The sequence below is a fragment of the Homo sapiens genome, chromosome 11, assembly GCF_000001405.40.
Source record: "Homo sapiens chromosome 11, GRCh38.p14 Primary Assembly".
NCBI classification, from domain to species: Eukaryota; Metazoa; Chordata; class Mammalia; order Primates; family Hominidae; genus Homo; species Homo sapiens.
The window spans coordinates 55,215,222-55,241,890 of record NC_000011.10 but is presented as its reverse complement, the minus strand read 5'-3'; the positions used below and the strand labels follow the sequence as shown (position 1 = coordinate 55,241,890).

Genomic DNA, 26,669 nt, shown 5'->3' with positions numbered 1-26,669 from the left:
TCAAGGTTCAACTGTGGGAGTTGAATTCACTCATCACAAAGAAGTTTCTGTGAATGATTCTGTCTAGTTCTTATGTGAAGATATTTCCTTTTCCAGTACATGCCTCAAAGCACTCCGAATATACACTTGCAGTCACTTCAAAAGAGTGTTTCAAAACTGTTCTATCAAAAGAAAGGTTCAACTCTGTGAGTTGAATGCACACATCACAAAGTAGTTTCTGAGAATGCTTCTGTCTAGTTTTTATGTGAAGATATTTCCTTTTCCACCGTAGGCCTAAAAGAGCACCAAATATCCACTTGCAGATTCTAAAAAAAGAGATTTTCAAAAAGGCTCTATCAAAAGAAAGGTTCAACTCTGTGAGTTCAATGCACACATTAGAAAGAAGTTTCTGAGAATGCTTCTGTCTACTTTTTACCTGAAGATATTTCCTTTCCACCATAGGCCTCAAAGCACTCCAAATATCCACTTGCAGATTCTGGAAAAAGTGTTTCAAAACTGCTCTATCAAAAGAAAGGTTCAACACTGTGAGTTGAATGCACACATCAGAAAGAAGTTTCTGAGAATGCTTCTGACTAGTTTTTATGTGAAGATATTTCCTTTTCCACCATAGGGCTCAAAGCGCTCCAAATATCCACTTGCAGATTCTATAAAAAGAGTGTTTCAAAACTGCTCTATCAAAAGAAAGGTTCAACTCTGTGAGCGGAATGCACACATCACAAACAACTTCTCAAGAATGCTTTTGTCTAGTTTCTATGTGAAAATATTTCCTTTCCCATCGTAGGCCTCAAAGCTTTCCAAATATCCACTTTCAGATTCTACAAAAAGAGTGTTTCAAAACAGCTCAATCAAAAGAAAGGTTCATCTCTCTGAGTTGAAGGCACACATCACAAAGACGTTTCTGAGAATGCTTCAGTCTAGATTTACATGAAGATATTTACTTCTAATCCAAAGGCCTCAATGTGCTCCAAATACTCACTTGCAGATTCTACAAAAACAGTGTTTTAAAACTGCTCCATTAAAGGAAAGGTTCAAGTCTGTGACTTGAATGCACACATTACAAAGAACTTTCTGAGAATGCTTCTGTCTAGTTTTTATGTGAGGATATTTCCTTATCCACCATAGGCCTCAAAGCGCTCCAAATATCCACTTGCAGATACTACAAAAATAGTGTTTCAAAACAGCTCTATCAAAGGAAAGGTTAAACTCTGAGAGTTGAAAATACTCATCACAAAGAAGTTTCTGCGAATGCTTCTGTCTAGTTCCTATGTGAAGATATTTCCTCTTCCACCATAGGCCTCAAAGCGCTCTGAATATACACTTGCAGATACTTCAGAAAGAGTGTTTCAAAACTACTCTATCAAAAGAATGGTTCAACTCTGTGAGTTTTAATGCACACATCAGAAAGAATTTCTAAGAATACTTCTCTCTAGTTTTTATGTGAGGATATTTCCTTTTCCACCATTGGCCTCAATGTGCTCCAAATATCCACTTGCAGATACTACAAAAAGAATGTTTCAAAACTGCTCAAGGTTCACCTCTGGCAGTTGAAGGCACTCATCACAAAGAAGTTTCTGCGAATGATTCTGTCTAGTTCTTATGATGTGAAGATATTTCCTTTTCCAGTACATGCCTCAAAGCACTCCGAATATACACTTGCAGTCACTTCAAAAGAGTGTTTCAAAACTGCTCAATAAAAGAAAGGTTCAACTCTGTGAGTTGAATGCACACATCACAAAGTAGTTTCTGAGAATGCGTCTATCTAGTTTTTATGTGAAGATATTTCCTTTTCCACTATAGGTCTAAAAGAGCACCAAATATCCACTTGCAGATTCTAAAAAAAGAGATTTTCAAAACGGCTCTATCAAAAGAAAGGTTCAACTCTGTGAGTTCAATGCACACATTAGAAAGAAGTTTCTGAGAATGCTTCTGTCTACTTTTTGCCTGAAGATATTTCCTTTTCCACCATAGGCCTCAAAGCACTCCAAATATCCACTTGCAGATTCTGGAAAAAGAGTGTTTCAAAACTGCTCTATCAAAAGAAAGGTTCAACACTGTGAGTTGAATGCACACATCAGAAAGAAGTTTCTGAGAATGCTTCTGACTAGTTTTTATGTGAAGATATTTCCTTTTCCACCATAGGACTCAAAACGCTCCAAATATCTATTTGCAGATCCTACAAAAAGAGTGTTTCAAAACTGCTCTATCAAAAGAAAGGTTCAACTCTGTGAGCGGAATGCACACATTACAAACAACTTCCTGAGAATGCTTTTGTCTAGTTTTTATGTGAAAATATTTCCTTTTCCACCATAGGCCTCAAAGCGTTCCAAATATCCACTTTCAGATTCTACAAAAAGAGTGTTTCAAAACAGCTCAAACAAAAGAAAGGTTCAACTCTGTGAAATGAAGGCACACATCACAAAGAAGTTTCTCAGAATGCTTCTGTCTAGTATTTATGTTTAGACATTTCCTTTTCCAGCTGTAGGCATCAAAGTGCTCCCAATTGCCTACCGATACTACAAAAATATTGTTTCCAAACTAGTCAATCAAAAGAAAGTTTCAACTCTGTGAGTATAACACACACATCACAAAGTAGTTTCTGAGAATGCTTCTGTCTAGTTTTTATGTGAAGATGTTTCGTTTTCCACCATAGGCCTCAAAGCTTTCCAATTATCCACTTGCAGATTCTACAAAAAGAACGTTTCAAAACTGTTCAATCAAAAGAAAGGTTCAACTCTGTGAGATGAATACACACATCAAAAAGAGGTCTCTCAGAATGCTTCTGTCTAGTTTTTATGTGAAGATATTTCCTTTTCAACTATAGTCCTTGAAGTGTTCCAAATATCCATTTGCAGATACTACAAAGAGTGTTTCAAAGCTGCTCAATCAAAAGAAAATTTCAGGAAATCAGGACCTGGCAGCCAAGATGGCTGAATAGGTACAGCTCCGTTCTACAGCTCCCAGTGTGAGCGATGTACAAGACGGCTGATTTCTGCCTTTCCTTCTGAGTTACTGGGTTCATCCAACTAGGGAACGCCAGACAGTGTGCGCAGGACAGTGGGTGCAGTGCACCTTGTGGGAGCCAAAGCAAGGTGAAACATTGCCTCACTCGGGAAGCACATGGTGTCAGGCAGTTCCCTTTCCTAGTCAAAGAAACGGGTGACAGACGGCACCTGGAAAATTGGGTCACTCCCACACTAATCCTGCACATTTCCGATGGGGTTACAAAATGGCACACCAGGAGATTATATCCCACACATGGCTCAGAGGGTCCTATGCCCATGGAGTCTCGCTGATTGCTAACACAGCAGTCTGAGATCAAACTACACCGTGGCATTGAGGCTGGGGGATGGGTACCCGCCATTGACCAGGCTTGCTTAAGCAAACAAAGCAGCCAGGAAGCTCGAACTTGGTGGAGCCTGCCACAGCTCAAGGAGGCCTGCCTGCCTCTGTAGGCTCCATCTCTGGGGGCAGGGTACAGACAAACAAAAAGACAACAGTAACCTCTGCAGGCTTAAATGTCCCTTTCTGACAGCTTTTAAGGGAGCAGTGGTTCTCCCAGCAAACAGCTGGAGATCTGAGAACGAGCAGACTGCCTCCTCAAGTGGGTCCCTGACCCCTGACCTCCGAGCAGCCTAACTGGGAGGCACCTCTCAGTAGGGGCAAGACTGACACCTCACATGGCCGGGTAATCCTCTGAGACAAAACTTCCAGAGGAGTGATCACACAACAGAATTTGTGGTTCATGAAAATCTGTTGTTCTGCAGCCACTGCTGCTGATACCCAGGCAAACAGGGTCTGGAGTGGACCTCTAGCAAACTCCAACAGACCTGCAGCTGAGGGTCCTGACTGTTAGAAGGAAAACTAACAAACAGAAAGGACATCCACACCAAAAACCCATCTGTACATCACCATCATCAAAGACCAAAAGTAGATAAAACCACAAAGATGGGGTAAAAACAGAGCAGAAAAACTGGAAACTCTATAAAGCAGAGTGCCTCTCCTCCTCCAAAGGAATGCAGTTCCTCACCAGCAATGGAACAAAGCTGAATGGAGAATGACTTTGACGAGTTGAGAGAAGAAGCCTTCAGACGATCAAATTACTCCGAGCTACAAGAGAACATTCAAACCAAAGGCAAAGAAGTTAAAAACTTTGAAAACAATTCAGATGAATGTATATCTAGAATAACCAATACAGAGAAGTGCTTAAAGAAGCCGATGGAGCTGAAAGCCAAGGCTCGAGAACTACATGAAAAATGCAGAAGCCACAGGAGATGATGCGATCAACTGGAAGAAAGGGTATCAGTGATGGAAGAAGAAATGAATGAAATGAAGTGAGAAGGGAAGTTTAGAGAACAAAGAATAAAAACATATGAACAAAGCCTCCAAGAAATATGGGACTATGTGAAAAGACCAAATCTGCATCTGATTGGTGTACCTGAAAGTGACGGGGAGAATGGAACCAAGTTGGAAAACACTCTGCAGGATATTATCCAGGAGAACTTCCCCAATCTAGAAAGGCAGGCCAACATTCACATTCAGGAAATACAGAGAACACCACAAAGATACTACTCAAGAAGGGCAACTCCAAGACACATAATTGTCACATTCACCAAAGTTGAAATGAAGGAAAAAATGTTAAGTGTAGCCAGAGAGAAAGGTCGGGTTACCCACAAAGGGAAGCCCATCAGACTAACAGCGGATCTTGGCAGAAACTCTAATAGCCAGAAGAGAGTGGGGGCCAATATTCAACATTCTTAAAGGAAAGAATTTTCAACCCAGAATTTCATATCCAGCCAAACTAAGCTTCATAAGTGAAGGAGAAATAAAATCCTTTACAGACAAGCAAAGGCTGAGATATTTTGTCACCACCAGGCCTGCCCTAAAAGAGCTCCTGAAGGAAGCACTAAACATGGAAAGGAACAACTGGTAGCAGCCACTGCAAAATCCTGCCAAATTGTAAAGACCATCTAGGCTAGGAAGAAAGTTCATCAATTAACGAGCAAAATGACCAGCTAAAATAATAATGACAGGATTAAATTTACACATAACAATATTAACTTTAAATGTAAATGCACTAAATGCTCCAATTAGAAGACAAAGACTGGCAAATTGGATAAAGAGTCAAGACCCATCAGTGTGCTGTATTCAGGAAACCCATCTCATGGGCAGAGACACACATAGACTCAAAATAAAAGGATGGAGGAAGATCTACCAAGAAAATGGAAAACAAAAAAAGGCAGAGGTTGCAATCCTAGTCTCTGAATAATCAGACTTTAAACCAACAAAGATCAAAAGAGACAAAGAAGGCCATGACATAATGGTAAAGGAATCAATTCAACAAGAAGAGCTAACTATCCTAAATTTATATGCACCCAATACAGGAGCACCCAGATTCATAAAGCAAGTCCTGAGTGACCTATAAAGAGACTTAGACTCCCACAAAATAATAATGGGAGACTTTAACACCCCACTGTCAACATTAGACAGATCAATGAGACAGAAAGTTAACAAAGATACCCAGGAATTGAACTCAGCTCTGCACCAAGCGGACCTAATAGACATCTACAGAACTCTCCACCTCAAATCAACAGAATATACATTTTTTTCAGCACCACACCACACCTATTCCAAAATCTACCACATAGTTGGAAGTAAAGCATACCTCAGCAAATGCAAAATAACAGAAATTATAACAAACTGTCTCTCAGACCACAGTGCAATCAAACTAGAACTCAGGATTAAGAAACTCACTCAAAACCGCTCAAATACATGAAAACTGAACAACCTGCTCCTGAATGACTACTGGGTACATAACGAAATGAAGGCAGAAACAAAGATGTTCTTTGAAACCAATGAAAACGAAGACACAACATACCAGAATCTCTGGGACACATTCAAAGCAGTGTGTAGCGTAAAATTTGTAACACTAAATGCTCACAAGAGAAAGCAGGAAACATCCAAAATTGACACCCTAACATCACAATTAATAGAACTAGAAAAGCAAGAGCAAACACGTTCAAAAGCTAGCAGAAGGCAAGAAATAACTAACATCAGAGCAGAACTGAAGGAAATAGAGACACAAAAAACTCTTCAAAAACTTAATGAATCCAGGAGCTGGTTTCGTGAAAAGATCAACAAAATTGACAGACCACTAGCAAGACTAATAAAGAAAAAAAGGAAGAAAAATCAAATAGACGCAATAAAAAATAATAAAGGGGATATCACCACTGGTCCCACAAAAATACAAACTACCATCAGAGAATACTACAAACACCTCTTCACAAATAAACTGGAAAATCTAGAAGAAATGGATAAATTCCTACACATACACCCTCCCAAGACTAAACCAGAAAGAAGTTAAATCTCTGAATAGACCAGTAACAGGCTCTAAAATTGTGGCAATAATCAATAGATTACCTACCAAAAAGAGTCCAGGACCAGATGGATTCACAGCCGAATTCTCCCAGAGGTACAAGGAGGAACTGGTACCATTCCTTCTGAAACTATTCCAATCAATAAAAAAAGAAAGAATCCTCTCTAACACATTTTATGAGACCAGCATCATCCTGATACCAAAGACGGGCAGAGACATAACCAAAAAAGAGAATTTTAGACCAATATCCTTGATGAACATTGATGCAAAAATCCTCAATAAAATACTAGCAAACAGAATCCAGCAGCACGTCAAAAAGCTTATCCATCATGATCAAGTGGACTTCATCCCTGGGGAGCAAGCCTGGTTTAATATATGCAAATCAATAAATGTAATCCAGCATATAAACAGAACCAAAGACAAAAACCACATGATTATCTCAATAGATACAGAAAAGACCTTAGACAAAATTCAACCATCCTTCATGCAAAAAACTCTCAATAAATTAGGTATCAATGGGACGTATCTCAAAATAATAAGAGCTATCTATGACAAACCCACAGCCAATATCAAACTGAATGGACAAAAACTGGAAGCGTTTCCTGTGAAAATTGGCACAAGACAGGGATGCCCTCTCTCACCACTTCTATTCGACATAGTGTTGGAAGTTCTGGCAAGGGAAATTAGGCAGCAGAAGGAAATAAAGTTTATTCAACTAGGAAAAGAGGAAGTCAAATTGTCCCTGTTTGCAGACGACATGATTGTATATCTAGAAAACCCCATTGTCTCAGCCCCAAATCTCCTTAAGCTGATAAGCAGCTTCAGCAAAGTCTCAGGATACAAAATCAATGTACAAAAATCAGAAGCATTCTAACACACCAATAACAGACAAACAGAGAGCCAAATAATTAGTGTACTCCCATTCACAATAGCTTTAAAGAGAATAAAATACCTAGTAATTCAACTTACAAGCGATGTGAAGGACCTCTTCAAGGAGAACTACAAACCACTGCTCAATGAAATAAAAGAGGATACAAACAAATGGAAGAACATTCCATGCTCATGGGTAGGAAGAATCAATATCATGAAAATGGCCATACTGCCCAAGGTAATTTACACATTCAATGTCGTCCCCATCAAGCTACCAATGACTTTCTTCACAGAATTGGAAAAACCACTTTAAAGTTCAAATGGAAATACTCTTTTTATAGTACCTGCAAATGGATATTTGGAGTGTTATGAGGCCTATGGTGGAAAGGGATGTATCTTCACATAAAAACTAGACAGAAGCATTCTGAGAAACTTCTTTGTGATGTGTGCATTCATCTCACAGAGTTGTACCTTTCTTTTGATTGGGCACTTTGGGACCACTCTTTTTGTAGAATCTGCAAATGGATATTTGGAGCACTTTCTGGCTTATGGTAGAAAAGGAAATATCTTCACATCAAAACCGGACAGAAGCATTATCAGAAACTTCTTTGTGATGTGTGCATTCAACTCACAGTGGTGAACCTTTCTTTTGATTGATCAGTTTGGAAACACTCTTTTTGTGGTAACTGCAAATGGATATTTGAAGTGCTTTGAGGCCTACAACTGAAAAGGAAATATCTTCACATAAAAACTAGACAGAAGCATTCTGAGAATGTTCTTTGTGATGTTTGCATTCATCTCACAGAGTTGAAACTTTCTTTTGACTGAGCAGTTTTGAAACACTCTTTTTGTAGAATCTGCAAGTGGATATTTGGAGCGCTTTGAGGGCTATGGTGGAAAAGAAAATATCTTCACATAAAAACTAGACAGAAGCATTCTCAGAAGTTTCTTGGGATTCGTGCATTCAAGTAACAGAGTTGAACCTTTTTTTTGATTGAGCAGTTTGGAAACACTCTTTTTGTAGTATCTACAAATGGTTATTTGGAGTGCTTTTTGGCTTGTAGCAGAAAAGGAAATATCTTCACATAAAAACTAGATGGAAGCATTCTCAGAACCTTCCTGGTAATGTGTGCATTCATCCCACGGAGTTGAAGATTTCTTTTGACTGAGCAGTTTTGAAACACTCTTTTTGTAGTGTCTGCAAATGGATATTTGGAGTGCTTTGAGGCCTATAGCTGAAAAGGAAATATCTTCACATAAAAACTAGACAGAAGCATTCTCAGAAACTTCTTTGTGAGGTGTGCATTTAACTAACGGAGTTGAACCATTCTTTTGATGGAGCTGTAGGGAAATACTCTTTATAGTATGTATCTTCAAATGTATATTTTGAACCCTTAGAGGCCTATAGCTGAAAAGGAAAAAATCTTCATATAAAAACTAGACAGAAGTGTTTGAGAAACTACTTTGTGATGTGTGCATTCATCTCACATAGTTGAACTTTTATTTTCATTGAGCTGTTTTGAAACAAACTTTCTGTAGAATCCGCAAGTGGATATTTGGAGTGCTTTGAGGCCTAAGGTGGAAAAGGAAATATCTTCATACAAAAACTAGACAGAAGCATTCTCAGAAACTTCTTTGTGATGTGTGCATTCAACTCACAGAGTTGCACCTTTCTTTTGATTGAGCAGTTTGGAAACACACTTTTTGTAGTATCTGCAAGTGGATATTTGGGAGTGCTTTGAGGCCTATAGTTGAAAAGGAAATATCTTTGCATAAAAACTAGATGGAAGCATTCTCAGAACCTTTGTGGTAATGTGTGCATTCATCACACAGAGTTGAAGATTTCTTTTGATTGAGCAGCTTCAAACACTCTTTTTGTAGTATCTGCAAATGGATATTTGGAGTGCTTTGAGGCCTATAGCTGAAAAGGAAATATCTTCACACAAAAACTAGACAGAAGCATTCTCAGAAACTACTTTCTGATGTGTGCATTCAACACAGAGAGCTGAAGCTTTGATTGAGTAGTTTGGAAACACTCTTTTTGTAGTTTCTGTAAAAGAATATTTGGAGTGCTTTGAGTCCTATAGCTGAAAAGGAAGTATCTTCACATAAAAACTAGACAGAAGCATTCTCAGAAACTTCTTTGTGATGTGTACATTCAACTCACAGAATGGAATCTTTGCTTTGATTGAGGAGTTTGGAAACACTCTTTTTGTAGAATCTGCAAGTGGATATTTAGAGCGCTTGCATCCTCTTTTGGAAAAGGAAGTATCTTCAGATGAAAACTAGGCAGAAGCATTCTGAGAAACCTCTTTGTGATGTGTGCATTCAACTAACAGAGTTGAACCTTTCTTTTATTGAGCAGTTTTGAATCTCTGTTTTTGTAGAATCTGAAAGTAGATATTTCGAGCCCTTTGCACCCTATGGTGGAAAAGGAAATTTCATCAAATAAAAACTGCACAGAGGCAATCAGAGAAACTCCTTTGTGATGAGTGCATTCATCACACAGATTTGAATCTCTCTTTTCATTGAGCAGTTTTGAAACTCTTTTTATAAAATCTGGAAGTGGATATTTGGAGGGGTTTGAGGCCAATTTTGGAAAAGGAAATATCTTCACATAAAAATTACTCAAAAGTATTCTGAGAAACTTCTTTGCTATGTGAGCATTCAACTTACAGAGTTGAAGCTACATTTTGATTGATCAGTTTTCAATCTCTCTTTTCACAGAGTCTGCAAGTGGAGATTGGGAGTGCTTTGAGGCCTAATGTGGAAAAGAAAATATCTTCACATAAAAACTACACATAAGCATTCTGAGAAACTTCTTTGTGATGTGTGCATTCAATGCACACCATCGAACCTATCTTTTGATTGAGCAGTTTTGCATCTCTCTTTTGCAGAATCTGCAAGTGGATACTTGAAGAGCTTTGATGTATATTGTGGATCAGGAAATATCTTCACATAAAAACAACACAGAAGAAATTCTGAGAAACTTCTCTGTGATGTGTAAATTCAACTCACAGAATTGAACCTATCTTTTGATTGAGCAGTTTGGAAACACTCTTATTTTAGAATCTACAAGAAGATATTTGTACCGCTTTGTAGCCTATTGTGGAAAAAGAAATATCTTCCCATAAAAACTACACAGTAGAATTCTGAGTAACTTCTTTGTGATGTGTGCATTCATCTCACAGAGTTGATCATGTCCTTTCATTGAGCAGCTTCGAAACACTGTTTCTGTAGAATCTGCAAGTGGATATTTGGAGTGCTTTGGGGCCCATGGTGGAAAAGGAAATATCTTCACATAAAAACTACACAGAAGCGTTCTGAGAAACCTCTTTGTGTGGTGTGCTTTCAACACACAGAGTTGAACATATCTTTTGACTGAACAGTTTTGAATCTCTCTTTTTGTAGAATCTGCAAGTGGATCTTTGGAGTCCTTTGCAGCCCATGGTGGAAAAGGAAATATCTTGAAATAAAAACTACACAGAAGCATTCTGAGAAGCTTCTTAGTGATGTGTGCATTCTTCTCACAGGGCTGAAATTATCTTATGATTGAGTAGTTTTGAAACACTCTTATTGAAGAATCTGCAAGTGGGTATTTGGAGTGCTTTGAGGCCTACTGTGGAAAAGGAAATATCTTCACATAAAAACTAGACAGAAGCATTCTCAGAAACTTCTTTGTGATGCCTGCATTCATCTCACAGAGTTGATCTTTTGATAGAGCAGTTTGGAAACAGTCTTTTTGTAGTATCTGCAAATGGATATTTGGAGTGCTTTGAGGCCTATTTTGAAAAGGACATATCTTGAAACGAAAACTAGACAGAAGCATTCTGAGAAACTGTTTTGTGATGTGTGCATTCAACTAACAGAGTTTAACCTTTCTTTTGATTGGGAAGTTTTGAAACAGTCTTTTTGTAGAATCTGCAAGAGGATACTTAGAGTGTTTTGAGGCCTATGGTGGAAAAGGGAATATCTTCGCATAAAAACTAGACAGAAGCATTCTGAGATACTTCTTTGTGATGTGTGCATTCATCTCATAGAGTTGAATCTTTCTTTTGATTGAGCAGTTTTGAAACACTCTTTTTGTAGAATCTGCAAGTGGGTATTTGGGGCGTTTAGTGGGCTATGGCAGAAAAAATATATCTTCACATAAACACTAGACAGAAGCATTATGAGAAACTTTTCTGTGATGTGTGCTTTCAACTAACAGAGTTGAACCTTTCTATTGATTGAGTAGTTTTGAAACACTCTTTTTGGAGAATCTGCAAGTGGATATTTGTAGTGGTTGGTGGCCTATGGTGGAAAATGAAATATCTTCACATAAAAACTAGACAGAAGCCTTCTGAGAAACCTGTTTGTGATGTCTGCATTCATCTCATAGAGTTGAATCTTTCTCTGGATTGAGCAGTTTTGAAGCACTCTTTTTGTAGAATCTGCACGTGGGTATTTGGGGTGCTTAGTGGGCTATGGCAGAAAAGAAAATATCTTCACATAAACACTAGATAGAAGCATTATATGAGAAAATTCTCTGTGATGTGTGCATTCAACTCACAGAGTTGAACCTTCCTATTGATTGAGCAGTTTTGAAACACTCTTTTTGCAGAAAATGCAAGTGGATATTTGTAGTTCTTGGTTGCCTATGGTGGAAAATGAAATATCTTCTCATAAAAACTAGACTGAATCATTCTCAGAAACTTCTTTGTGATATCTGCATTCATCTCACAGAGTTGAACTTTTGATAGAGCAGTTTGGAAACAGTCTTTTTGTAGTATCTGCAAATGGATATTTGGAGTGTTTTGAGGCCTATTTTGAAAAGGTCATATCTTCAAATGAAAACTAGACGGAAGCATTCTGAGAAATTGCTTTGTGATGTCTGCATTCAAATAAAAGAGTTTAAACTTTGTTTTGATTGAGAAGTTTTGAAACACTCTTTTTGTAGATTCTGCAAGAGGATATTTGGAGTGCTTTGAGGCCTATGGTGGAAAAGGGAATATCTTCACATAAAAACTAGACAGAAGCATTCTGAGATACTTCTTTGTGATGCATGCATTCTCATAGAGTTGAATTTTTCTTTGGATTGAGCAGTTTTGAAACACTCTTTTTGTAGTATCTGCAAGTGGGTATTTGGGGCGTTTAGTGGGCTATGGTGGAAAAAAATATCTTCACATAAATACTATACAGAAGCATTATGAATAACTTCTCTGTGATGTTTGCATTCAACTCACAGAGTTGAACTTTTCTGTTGATTGAGCAGTTTTGAAATACTCTTCATGTAGAATCTGCAAGTAGATATTTGTAGTGTTTGGTGGCCTATGGTGGAAAATGAAATATCTTCACATAAAACTAGACAGAAGCCTTCTGAGAAACTTCTTTGTGATGTCTGCATTCATCTCACAGAGTTCAATCTTTCTGTGTATTGAGCAGTTTTGAAACACTCTTTTTGTAGAATCGGCAAGTGGGTATTTTGGGCGCTTAGTGGGCTATGGCAGAAAAAAAAATATCTTCACATAAACACTAGACAGAAGCATTATGAGAAACTTCTCTGTGATGTGTGCATTCATCTCACAGAGATGAAACTTTCTATTGATTGAGCAGTTTTGAAACCCTCTTTTTGTAGAATCTGCAAGTGGATATTTGTAGTGCTTGATTGCCTATTTTGGAAAATAAAATATCTTCACATAAAAACTAGACAGAAACCTTCTGAGAAACTTATTTGAGATGTCTGCATTAATCTCATAAAGTTGAATCTTTCTTTTGGATTGAGCAGTTTTGGAACACTGTTTTTGTAGAATCTGCAAGTGGGTATTGTGGGCGCTTAGTGGGCTATGGAGGAAAAAAATATCTTCACGTAAACACTAGACAGAAGCATTATGAGAAACTTCTCTGTGATGTGTGCATTCAACTCACAGAGATGAAACTTTCTATTGATTGAGCAGTTTTGAAACCCTCTTTTTGTAGAATCTGCAAGTGGATATTTGTAGTGCTTGAATGCCTATTTTGGAAAATAAAATATCTTCACATAAAAACTAGACAGAAACCTTCTGAGAAACTTCTTTGAGATGTCTGCATTAATCTCATAATGTTGAATCTTTCTTTGGATTAAGCAGTTTTGGAACACTGTTTTTGTAGAATCTGCAAGTGGGTATTGTGGGCGCTTAGTGGACTATGGAGGAAAAAAATATCTTCACGTAAACACTAGACTGAAGCATTATGAGAAACTTCTCTGTGATGTGTGCATTCAACTCACAGAGATGAACCTTTCTATTGATTGAGCAGTTTTGAAACACTCTTTTTGTAGAATCTGCAAGTGGATATTTGTAGTGCTTGGTGTCCTATGGTGGAAAATGAAATATCTTCACATAAAAACTAGACAGAAGCATTCTCAGAATCTTCTTTGTGATGTCAGCATTCATCTCACAGAGTTGAACTTTTGATAGACCAGTTTGGAAACAGTATTTTTGTAGTATCTGCAAATGGATATTTGGAGTGCTTTGAGGCCTATTTTGAAAAGGACATATCTTGAAATGAAAACTAGACAGAAGCATTAGGAGAAACTGCTTTGTGATGTGTCCATTCAACTAACAGAGTTTCACCTTTCTTTTGACTGAGAAGTTTTGAAACAGTCTTTTTGTAGAATCTGCAAGAGGATATTTGGAGCGCTTTGAGGCCTATGGTGGAAAAGGGAATATCTTCACACAAAAACTAGACAGAAGCATTCTGAGAAACTTCTTTGTGATGCGTGCATTTGTCTCATAGAGTTGAATGTTTCTTTGGATTGAGCAGTTTTGAAACACTCCTTTTGTAGAATCTCCAAGTGGGTATTAGTGGTGCTTGGTGGACTATGATGGAAAATGAATTATCTTCACATGAAAACTAGACAGAAGCCTTCTGAGAAACTTATTTTTGATGTCTGCATTCATCTCTTAGAGTTCAATCTTTCTTTAGATTGAGCAGTTTTGAAACACTCTTTTTGTAGAATCTGCACGTGGGTATTTAATGCGCTTAGTGGGCTGTGGCAGAAAAACATTATCCTCATGTAAACACTAGACAGAAGCATTATGAGAAACTTCTCTGTGATGTGTGCATTCAACTCACAGAGTTGAACCTTTTTATTGATTGAGCAGTTTTAAAACACTCTTTTTGTAGAAGCTGCTAGTTGATATTTGTAGTGCTTGGTGGCCTATGATGGAAAATGAAATATCTTCACATAACAACTAGACAGAAGCCTTCTGAGAAACTTCTTTGTGATTTCTGCATTCGTCTCACAGAGTTGAACTTTTGATAGAGCAGTTTGGAAACAGTCTTTTGTAGTATCTGCAAATGGATATTTGGAGTGCTTTGTGGCCTATTTTGAAAAGTAAATATCTTCACATGAAAACTAGACAGAAGCATTCTGAGAAACTGCTTTGTGATGTGTGCATTCATCTCACAGAGTTGAACATTTCTTTTGATTGAGAAGTTTTGAACCACTCTTTTTGTAGAATCTGCAAGAGGATATTTGGAGCACTTTGAGGCCTATTGTGGAAAAGGGAATATCTTCTCATAAAAACTAGACAGAAGCCTTCTGAGAAACTTCTTTTTGATGCCTGCATTCATTTCATAGAGTTGAATCTTTCTTTGGATTGGGCAGTTTTGAAACACACTTTTTGTAGAATCTGCAAGTGGGTATTTGAGGCACTTAGTGGGCTGTGGTGGAAAAATACATATCTTCACATAAACACTAGAGAGATGCATTATGAGAAACTTCTCTGTGATGTGTGCATTCAACTCGCAGAGTTGAACATTTCTATTGATTGAGCAGTTTTGAAACACTCTTTTTGTAGAATCTGCAAGTGGATATTTGTAGTGCTTGGTGGGCTATGGTGGAAAATGAAATATCTTCACATAAAAACTAGAGAGAAGCATTCTCGGAAACTTCTTTGTGATGTCTGCACTCATCTCATAGAGTACAATCTTTCTTTGGATTGAGCAGTTTTGAAACACTCTTTTTGTAGTGTCTGCATGTGGTTATTTGGGGCACTTATTGGGCTATGGCATAAAAGAAAATATCTTCCCATAAACACTAGACAGAAGCTTAATGAGAAACTTCTCTGTGATGCTTGCTTTCAACTCACAGAGTTGAACATTTCTATTGATTGACCAGTTTTGAAACACTCTTTTTGTAGAATCTGCAAGTGGATGTTTGTAGTGCTTGGTTGCCTGTGGTGGTTAAGGAAATATCTTCACATAAAAACTAGACAGAAGCATTCTCAGCAACTTCTTTGTTATGTCTGCATTCATCTCACAGAGTTGAACTTTCAATAGAGCAGTTTGGAAACAGTCTTTTTATAGTATCTGCAAATGGATATTTAGAACGCTTTGCAGGCTATTTTCAAAAGGAAATATCTTCACATGAAAACTAGACAGAAGCCTTCTGAGAAACTTCTTTGTGATTTATGCTTTCATCTCACAGAGTTGAAACTTTCTTTTGATTGAGAAGTTTTGAAACACTCTTTTTGTAGAATCTGCAAGAGGATATTTGGAGCGCTTTGAAGCCTATGGTGGAAAAGGAAATATATTCACCTAAAAACTAGATGGAAGCATTCTGAGAAACTTCTTTGTGATGTGTGCATTCACCTCACAGATTTGAACCTTTCTTTTGATTGAGCAGTTTTGAAACACTCTTTTTGTAGAATCTGCAACTGGATATTTTCCGTGCTTTGAGGCCTATGGTGGAAAAGGAAACGTCTTCACATAAAAACTAGATGGAAGCATTCTGAGAAACTTCTTTATGATGTGTGCTTTCATCTCACCTTCCTTTCTACATTTCTTTTGAGGGAGCAGTTTGGAAACAGTCTTTTTGTAGTATCTGCAGAAGGATATTTGTGAGCTGTTTAAAGCCTATGGTGAAAAAGGAATTATCTTGACATAAAACTAGACAGAAGAATTCTGAGAAACTTCTTTGTGATGTGTAAATTCATTTCACATGGTTGAATCTTTCTTTTGTTTGAGCAGTTTGGAAACCCTCTTTTTGTAGAATATGCAAATGGATATTTGGAGCGCTTTCAGGCTTGTGGTGAAAAAGGATGTATCTTCACATAAAAACTAGAGAGAGGCATCCTGAGAAACTTCTTTGTGATGTGTGCCTTCACCACACAAAGCTGAACTTTTCTTTGCATGGAGCACATTGGAAACAGTCTTTTTGTGGTATCCACAGAGGAATATTTGTGACCAGTTTAAGGCTTATGTTGAAAAAGGAAATATCTTCACATAAAAACCAGACAGGAACATTCTGAGAAACTTCTCTGTGATGTGTGCATTCATCTCCCAGACTTGAAACTTTCTTTTGATTGAGCCGTTTTGAAACACTCTTTTTGTAATATCTGCAAATGGCTATTTGGAGTGCTTTCAGGTCTATGGTGAAAAAGGAAGTACCTTCACATAAAAACTACACAGAAGCATTCTGAGAAACTTCTTTGTGATGTGTGCACTCATCTCACAGAGTTGAATCTTTCTTTTGGTAGAGCAGTTTGGAAACAGTCTTTTTGTGCAATCTGCAAAGGGAGACTTCCGAGTCCTTTGAAGCCTATGGTGAAAAATAAGTATCTTCATATAAAAACTAGATAGACGAACTCTAAGAAACTTCCTTCTGTTGCTTCCATTCATCTCACAGAGTTGAAACTCACTTTTGCTTGAGCAGGTTGGAAACAGTCTTTTGGAAGAATCTGCAAAATGACATTTGGAGTGATTGAGGCCTATGTTGCAAAAGGAAATATCTTCACATAAAAAGAAGACAGAAGCATTCTGAGAAACGTCTTTGTGATGTGTGCATTCTTCTTACAGTGTTGAACCTTTCTTTTGATAGAATAGTTTGGAAACAGTTTTTTTGTAGTATCTGCAGAGGGATATTTCTGAGTGGTTTAATGTCTATGGTGAAAAAAGAAATATCTTAACTGAAAAACTAGACAGAAACATTCTGAGAAACTTCTTCATGAGGTGTGCGTTCACCTCACAGACTTGAAACTTTCTTTTGATTGAGCAGTTTGGAAACATTCTTTTTGTAGAATATGCAAATGGATTTTTGGAGTGATTTTAGGCCTATGGTTGAAAAGGAAATACCTTCACATTAAAACTAAGCAGAATCTTTCTGAGAAACTTCTTTGTGATGTGTTCATTCATCTCACAGAGTTGAAAATTTCTTTTGATTGAGAAGTTTGGAAACAGCATTTTGTACAATCTTCAAAGGGATAGTTCCAAGCCTCTTGAGACATACAGTGGAAAAGATGTATCTTCACATAAAAACAAGACAGAAGCATTCTGAGGAACTTCTTTGTGTTGTGTCCATTCATCTCACAGAACTGAACATTTCTTTTTATTGAGCAGTTTGGAAACAGTCTTTTTGTAGAATCTGCAAATGGATATTTGCTGTGCTTTGCAGCCTATGGTGAAAAAAGGAAATATCTTCACAAAAGAACTAGAAAGAAGCTTTCTGAGAAACTACTTTGTGATGTGTGCATTAGTCTCACAGGGTTGAACGTTTCTTTTGAATGAGCAGTTTGGAAATGGGCTTTTTGAAGAATCTGCAAATGAATATTTGGAGTGCTTTGAGGTCTATGGTGAAAAAGGAAATATATTCACATAAAAACTAGACAGAAGCATTCTGAGAAACTCCTTTGTGATGTGTGCATTCATCTCACAGAGTTGAGCCTTACTTTTGATAGAGCAGTTTGGAAACAGTCTTTTTACACAGTCTGCAAGGGGATATTTTCGAGTCATTTGAGGCCTATGGTGAAAAAGAAGTACCTTCACATAGAAAATAGACAGAAGAATTCTTTTAAACTTCTTTGTGATGTGTCAATTCATCTCACAGATTTGAACCTTTCTTTGATTGAGCAGTCTGGAAACAGTCTTTTTGTAGAATCTGCAAAGAAATATTTTTGAGCCCTTTGTGGCCTACTGTTAAATCAGAAATATCACATAAAAACGAGACAGAATCCTTCTGAGAAACTGCTCTATGATGTGTGCTTTCATCTCACAGAGTTGAACCTCCCTTTTGATTGAGCAGTTTGGAAACACTCTTTTGGAAGTATATGCAAATGGATATTTTGAGCGTTTTGAAGCCTATCGTGAAAAAGGAAATATCTTCACATAAAAAGTAGACAGAAGCATTCTGAGAAACTTCTTTGTGATGCATGCATTCATCTCACAGAGTTGAAACTTTCTTCTAGTGGAGCAATTTGGAAACAGTCTTTTTGTAGAATCTCCAAATGGATACTAGTGAGCTGTTTAAGGCCTATGGTGAAAAAGGGAATATGTTAACATAAAAACTAGACAGAAGCATTCTGAGAAACTTCTTTGTGATATGTGCATTCATCTCACAGAGTTCAAACTTTCTTTTGATTCAGTGCTTTGGAAACAGTCTTATTGCACAATCTGCAAAGTGATATTTGGAATGCTTTGGAGCCTATGGTGAAAAAGGAAATATCTTCACTTAAAAACTAGAAAGAAGCATTCTGAGAAACTTCTTTGCAATGTGTGCATTCATCTCACAGAGTTGAAACTTTCTTTTGATTGAACAGTTTAGAAACAGTCCTTCTGTTGAATCTGCAAATGGATATTTGTGAGCCCTTTGAGGCCTGTGGTGAAATAGGAAATATCTTCACTTAAAAACTAGAAAGAAGCTTTCTAAGAAACTTCTTTGTGATGTGTGCTTTCATCTCACAGAGTTGAACCTTTATTTTGATTGAGCAGTTTGGAAACAGTCTTTTGTAGTGTCTGCAAGTGGATATTCAGAAGGTTTTGAGGTCTACGGTGAAAAAGGAAATATCTTCCCATAAAAATTAGACAGAAGCATTCTGAGAAACTTGTTTGTGATGTGTGCTTTCATCTCACAGAGTTGTATCTTTCTTTTGATGGAGCAGTTTGGAAACAGTCTTTTTGTGATATCTGCAGAGGGATATTTGTGAGCGTTTTTACACCTATGGTGAAAAAGGAATTATCTTCACATAAAAGCTAGACAGAAGAATTCTGAGAAACGTCTTTGTGATGTGTGTATTCATCTCACACAGTTGAACCTTTCTTTTGATTGAGCAGTTTGAAAACCCTTTTTGTATAATCTGCAAATGGATATTTGGAGCACTTTGAGGCTTATGGTGTAAAAGGAAGTATCTTCACATAAAAACTAGACAGAAGCATTCTGAGAAACTTCTTTGTGATGTGTGCACTCATCTCACAGAGTTGAACCTTTATTTTGACGGAGCACCTTGGAAACAGTCATTTTGTAGTATCTGCAGAGGAATATTTGTGACCAGTTTAAGGCCTATGTTGAAAAAGGAAATATCTTCACATAAAAACTAGACAGAAGCATTCTCAGAAACTACTTTGTGATGTGTGCATTCAACTCACAGCATTGAACCTTTCTTTTGATTGAGCAATTTGGAAACACTCTTTTTGTAGTATCTGCAAATGGATATTTGTAGAGCTTAAAGGCCTATAGCTCAAAAGGGAATATCTTCACATAAAAACTAGACAGAAGCTTTCTGAGAAACTTCTTTGTGATGTGTGCATTCATCTCACAGAGTTGAACCTTTCATTTGATTGAGCAGTTTGGAAACAGTCTTTTTCTAGAATGTCTAAGGGAATATTTCTGACCAGTTTAAGGCCTATGGTGAAAAAGGACATATCTTCACATAAAAACTAGACAGAAACTTGCTGAGAAAATTCTTTGTAATGAAGGCATTCATCTCACAGAGCTGTCCTTTCTTTTGATTGAGCAGCTTGTAAACAGTCTTATTTAGGGTCTACAAAGGGATATTTCTGATTGGTTTCAGGCCTATGGTGAGAAAGGTAATATCTTTCAATAAAAACTAGACAGAAGCTTTCTGAGAAACTTGTTTGTCATATCTTTATTCATCTCTCAGAGTGGAAACTTTCTTTGGATTGAGCATCTTGGAAACAGTCCTTTTGTAGAATCTGCAAAGGGATATTTGGGAGCCTTCAAGGCCTATGGTGAAAAATATGATATCTTCACATAAAAAGTAGACTGAAGTTTTCTGAGGAACTTCTTTCTTATGTGGGGATTCTTCTCACTGAATTGAACCTTCCTTTTGATTGATCAGTGTGGAAACAGTCTTTTTATAACATCTGCAAAGTGATATTTGGGATCCCTTTGATTCCTAAGGTGAAAAAGGAAATATCTTCACATAAAAACTGCACAGAACTTTTCTGAGGAACTTCTTTGTGATGTGTGCATTCATCTCACAGAGTAGTAACTTACTTTTGATTGAACAGCTTGGAAAGAGTCTTTTTGTAGAATCTGCAAAGTGATATTTGAGAGACCTTTGAGGCCAATGGTGAAAAAGAAAATATCTTCAATTAAAAACTAGATAGGGGCTTTCTAAGAACCTTCTTTGTGATGCCTGCATTCATCTCACAGAGTTAAAACTTCCTTTTGATTGAGCAGTTTGGAAACAGCCTTTTTGTAGAATCTGCAAAGTGATATTTTGGAGTCTTTGAGGCCTATGGTGAAAAAGGAAATATCTTCACATAAACCCTAGACAGAAGCTTCCTGAGAAACTCCTTTGTAATGAGTGCATTCATCTCACAGGGTTCAACCTTTCTTTTCATTGAGCCATCTAGAGTCTGCAAAGGGATATTTCAGAGTGGTTTGAGGCTTATGGTGAAAAATGGAATATCTTCAAATAAAAACTATACAGAAGCTTTCTGAGAAACTTGTTTGTGATGTGTGCATTAATCTCACAGAATTGAAACTTTCTTTTGATTGAGCAGTTTGGAAACATTCTTTTTGTAGAATCTGCAAAGAGATAATTGGGAGCCCTTTGAGGCCTATTTTGAAAAAGAATTTTCTTCGTATAAAAACTAGACAGAAATTTCCTGAGAAACTCTTTTGTGAGGTGTGCATGCATCTCACAGAGTTGAAACTTTCTTTTCATTAATCAGTTTGGAAACAGTCTTTCTGTAGGATCTGCAAAGGGATATGTGGGAAAACTTTGAGGCCTATGGTGAAAACGGAAATATCTTCACATAAAAGCTAGAAAGAAGCTTTCTGAGAAACTTCCTTTTGATATGTACATTCAACACGCACAGTTGACCCTTTCTTTTGATTGAGCAGTTTGGAAACAGTCTTTTTGTGGAAACTGCAAAGGGATATTTCTGTGCGGTTTTTGACCTATGGTGAAAAAGTAAATGTCTTCTCATAAACACTAGACAGAAGCTTTCTGATAAACTTCTTTGTGATGTGTGCATTCATCTCACAGAATTGAACCTTCCTTTTGATTGAGCAGTTTGGAAACAGTCTCCTTGTCAAATCTGCAAAGGGATATTTGGGAGGCCTTTGAAGCCTATGGTGAAAAAGGAAATATTTTCACATAAAAACTAGACAGAAGCTTTCTGAGAAACTTCGTTGTGATGCTTGTATTCATCTGACAGAGTTGAAACTTTCTTTTGATTGAGCAGTTTGGAAACAGTCTCTTTGTAAAATCTGCAAAGAGATATTTGGGCATCCTTTGAGGCCAATAGTGAAAAAGAAAATATCTTCACATAAAAACTAGACAGAAGCTTTCTGAGAAATTTCATTGTGATGTGTGCATTCATATCACAGATTTGAAACTTTCTTTTGACTCAGCAGTTTGGAAACAGTCTTTTGTAGAATCTACAAAGGGATATTTCTGCATGGTTTTAGGTCTATGGTGAAAAAGGGAATATCATCACATAAAAACTAGGCAGAAGCTTTCTAAGAATCTTGTTTGTGATGTGCACATTCATCTCACAGATTTGATACATTCTTCTGATTGAGCAGCTTGGAAACTTTCATTTTGTAGAAACTGCAAAGGGATAATTGGGAGCACTTTGAGGCCTCTGGTGAAAGTCTTCCTTTTGATTGATCAGTGTGGAAACAGTCTTTTTATAACATCTGCAAAGTGATATTTGGGATCCCTTTGATTCCTAAGGTGAAAAAGGAAATATCTTCACATAAAAACTAGACAGAAATATTCTGAGAAACTTCTCTGTGGTGTGTGCATTCATCTCAGAGAGTTGAAACTTTCTTATAATTGAAGTTTGGAAACAGTCTTTTTGAAGAATCTTCAAAGGGATAATTCTGAGTGGTTTGAGGCCTATGGTGAAAAAGGAAATATCTTCATGTAAAAACTAGACAGAAGATTTCTGAGAAACTTCTTTGTAATGAATGCATTCATCTCACAGAGTTAAACCTTCCTTTTGATTGAGCAGTTTGGAAACCATCTTTTTTTAGATTCTGCAAAAGGATATTTCTGAGTGGTTTCAAGCCTATGATGAAAAAGGGAATATCTTCAAATAAAAACTAGACAGAATCTTTCTAAGAAAGTTGTTTGTCATGTGTTCATTGATCTCACAGAGTGGAAATTTTCTTTGGATTGAGCAGCTTGGAAACAGTCTTTTTGTAGAATCTGCAAAGGGATATTCGGGAGCCTTTTGAGGTCTATGGTGAAAAAGGGAATATCTTCACATAAAAACTAGAAAGAAGTTTTCTCAGGAACTTTTTCTGATGTGTGCATTCATCTCTCAGAATTGATCCTTTCTTTTGATTGATCAGTTTGGAAACAGTCTTTTTGTAAAATCTGCAAAGGGATATTTGGGATCCCTTTGATTCCTAAGGTGAAAAAGGAAATCTCTTCACATAAAAACTTGACAGCTTTCTGAGAAACTTTTTGTGATGTGTGCATTCATCTCACACAGTTGAACCTTTCTTCTGACTGAGCAGTTTGGAAACAGCCTTTTTTTGGAATATGCAAAGGGATATTTCTGAGTGTTTTGAGGCATATGATGAAAAAAGAAATATCTTCACATAAAAACTAGACAGAATATTTCTGAGAAACCTCTTTGTGATTGGTGTATTCATCTCACAGATTTGAAACTTTCTTTTGATTCAGCAGCTTGGAAACAGTCTTTTTGTAAAATATGCAATGTGATATTTGAGAGAGCTTGGAGGCCAAAGGTGAAATAGGAAATATCTTCACTTAAAAACTAGATAAGGGCTTTCTGAGAAACTTCTTTGTGATGCCTGCATTCATCTCACAGAGTTAAAGTATTCTTTTGATTAAGCAGTTTGGAAACAGACTTTTTGTAGAATCTGCCAAGGGGTACTTGGGAACCCTTTGAGGCCTATGGTAAAAAAGGAAATATCTTCACATAAAAGCTAGACAGAAGCTTCCTCAGAAACTTCTTTTAAATGAGTGCATTCATCTCACAGAGTTCAACCTTTCTTTTGATTGAGCAGTTTGGAAATCATCTTTTTCTGGAATCTGCAGAGGGATATTTCTGAATGGTTTGAGGCCTGCAGTGAAAAAGGAAATATCCTCATATAAAAACTAGACAGAAGCTTTCTGAGAAACTTCTTTGTGATGTGTGCATCCACCTCACAGATTTGAACTTTTATTTTGATTAAGGATTTTGGAAACAGTCTTTTTCTAGAATCTGCAAAGGGATATTTCTCAGCGGTTTGAGTCTTATGGTGAATAAGGAAATATGTTCACATAAAAACTAGACAGAAGCTTTCTTGTAAACATCTTATGATGTGTGCATTCCTCTCACAGACTTGAAACTTCCTTTTGATTGAGCAGTTTGGGAACAGTCTTTTGGTAGAAACTGCAAAGGGATATTTGAGTGCGCTTTGAGGCCTATGGTAGAAAATTAAATATCTTCACATAAAAACTAGAAAGAAGCTTTCTGAGAAACTTCTTTGTCATGAGTGCATTTATCTCCCAGGGTTGAAATTTCCTTTGATTGAGCATTTTGGAAACAGTCTTTTTGTGGAATCTGCAAGAGGATATTTGGGAGCCCTTCGAGGCCTATGGTGAAGAGGGAAATATCATCACATAAAAACTAGACAGAAGCTTTCTGAGAAACTTCGTTGTGATCCATGCACTCATCTCACAGAGTTGAACCTTTCTTTTGATTGAGCAGTTTGGAAACAGTTTTTTTGAGAAACTTCAAAGTGATATTTCTGAGCGGTTTGAGGCCTAAGGTGAAAAGAAGGAAATATCTTCATGTAAAAAATAAACATAAGCTTTCGGAGGAACTTCTTTTGATGTGTGCATTCATTTCAGAGAGTTGAACCTCTCTTTTGATTGAGCTGTTTGGAAACAGTCTTTTTCTAGAATCTGAAAGGGGATATTTGGGATCCTTTTGAAGCCCATGTTGAAAAAGGGAATATCTTCACATAAGAACTAGACAGAAGCATTCTGAGAAACTTCTTTGTGATGTGTGTATTCATTTCACAGAGTTGAACCTTTCCTTTGATTGAGCAGTTTCAAAACGGTCTTTTTCTAGAATCTGCAATGGGTATTTCTGAGCAGTTTGAGGCCTATGGTGAAAAAGGATATATCTACACATTAAAACTATACGGAAGCTTCCTGAGAAACTTCTTTGTGATATGTGCATTCATGTCACAGAGATGAACCTTTCTTTTGATTGAGCAGTTTGGAAACACTCTTTTTCTAGGATCTGCAATGGGTTATTTGGGAGCACATTGAGGCCTATTTTTAAAAAGGAATTATCTTCACATAAAAGCTACATAGAAATTTTCTGAGATGCTCTTTTGGGATGTGTGCATTCGTCTTGCAGAGTTGAACATTTCTTTTGATTGAGCAGTTTGGAAACAGTCTTTTGTAGAAACTGCAAAGTGAAATTTGAGGGCGCTTTGAGGCCTATGGTGAAAAAGGAAATATCTTCACATAAAAACTAGACAGAAGCTTTCTGAGAAATTTCTTTGTAATAAGTGTATTCATCTCACAGAGTTGAGATTTTCTTTTGATTGAGTAGTTTGGAAACAGTCTTTTTGTAATATTTTCAAAGGGATATTTCTGAGCAGTTTGAGGCCTATGGTGAAAATGGAAATATCTTCTCATAAAAACTGGGCAGAAGCTTTCTGAGAAACTTCTTTGTGATATACACATTCATTTCACAGAGTTGACCTTTCTTTTTGTTGAGCTGTTTGCAACAATCTTTTTCTAGAATCTGCAAAGGGATATTTGGGGGCACATTGAGACCTATGGTGAGAAAGGAAATATCTTCACATAAAAACAAGACAGAAACTTTTTGAGATACTCTTTTGTGATGTGTGCATTCATCTCACAGAGTAGAACCTTTCTTTTGACTGAGCAGTTTGGAAACAGTCTTTTGTAGAATCTGCAAAGTGATATTTTGAGGGTGTTTTGAGGCCTATGGTGAAAAAGGAAATATCTTCACATAAAAACTAGACAGAAGCTTTCTGGGAAACTTCTTTCTAGTGAGTGCATTCATCTCACAGAATTGAACCTTTCTTTTGATTGAGTAGTTTGGAATCATTCTTTTTCTAGAATCTGCAATGGGATTTTTGAGGGCGCTTTGAGGCCTATCGTGAAAAAGGAAATGTCTTCACATAAAAACAAGACAAAAGCTTTCTAAGAAATTTGTGATGTCTGTATTCAACTCTTAGAGTTGAACTTTTCCTTTGATTGAGCAGTTTGGAAACTTTCTACAGAATATGCAAAGGGATATTTGGGATCCCTTTGAGGTCTATGGTGAAAAAGGGAATATCTTTCCATAAAAACTAGACCGAAGCTTTCTGAGAAACTTGTTTGTGATGTGTGCATTCATCTCATGGAATTGAAACTTTCTTTTGATTGAGCAGTTTGGAAACAGACTTTTTGTAAAATCTGCCAAGGGATATTTCTGAGCATTTTGAGGCCTATGGTGACAAAGGAAATACCTTCATATATAAACTCGACAGAAGCTTTCTGAGGAACTCCTTTGTGATGCGTGCATTCATCTCACTGAGTTCAAACTTTCTCTTGATTGAGCATTTTGGAAACACTCTTTTTTGTAGAATCTCCAAAGGGATATATGGAAGCCCATTGAGGCCTATGGTGAAAAAGGAAATATCTTCATATAAAAACTAGACAGAAGTTTTCTCAGAACTTCTTTGGGATGTGTGCATTCATCTCACAGAGTTGAACCTTTCTTTTGATTGAGCAGTTTGGAAACAGTCTTTTTGTAGAATCTGCAAAGTGATACTTCTGAGCGATTTGAGGCTTATGGTAAAAAAGGAAATATCTTCAAATGAAAACTAGAAAGAAGCATTCTCCATAACTTCCTTGTGATGGGTGCATTCATTGGACAGAGTTGAACCTTTCTTTTGATTAAGCATTTTGGAAACAGTCTTTTTGTAGAATATGCAAAGGGATACTTTGGATCCCTTTGAGGCCTCTGGTGAAAAATGGAATATCTTCACATAAAAACTAGACAGAAGCTTTCTGAGAAACTTGTTTGTGATGTGTGCATTCATCTCACAGAATTGAAACTTTCTTTTGATTGAGTGGCTTGGAAACAGTCTTTTTGTAGATTCTTCCAAGGGACATTTCTGAGTGGTTTGAGGTCTATGTTGAAAAAGGAAATATCTTCACATAAA

General features: G+C 37.0%; 3 annotated features.

Annotated features, from left to right (window-relative positions):
• Window positions 338-877: an enhancer, noted in NCBI's record as "OCT4-NANOG hESC enhancer chr11:55008490-55009029 (GRCh37/hg19 assembly coordinates)". NCBI's record gives its function as "activates a minimal SCP1, AML or CMV promoter by ChIP-STARR-seq in primed H9 embryonic stem cells {active_cell/tissue: H9 hESC(primed)}" and the evidence as "EXISTENCE:reporter gene assay evidence [ECO:0000049][PMID:30033119]".
• Window positions 1,758-2,259: an enhancer, noted in NCBI's record as "NANOG hESC enhancer chr11:55007108-55007609 (GRCh37/hg19 assembly coordinates)". NCBI's record gives its function as "activates a minimal SCP1, AML or CMV promoter by ChIP-STARR-seq in primed H9 embryonic stem cells {active_cell/tissue: H9 hESC(primed)}" and the evidence as "EXISTENCE:reporter gene assay evidence [ECO:0000049][PMID:30033119]".
• Window positions 18,755-19,267: an enhancer, noted in NCBI's record as "OCT4-NANOG hESC enhancer chr11:54990100-54990612 (GRCh37/hg19 assembly coordinates)". NCBI's record gives its function as "activates a minimal SCP1, AML or CMV promoter by ChIP-STARR-seq in naive H9 embryonic stem cells {active_cell/tissue: H9 hESC(naive)}" and the evidence as "EXISTENCE:reporter gene assay evidence [ECO:0000049][PMID:30033119]".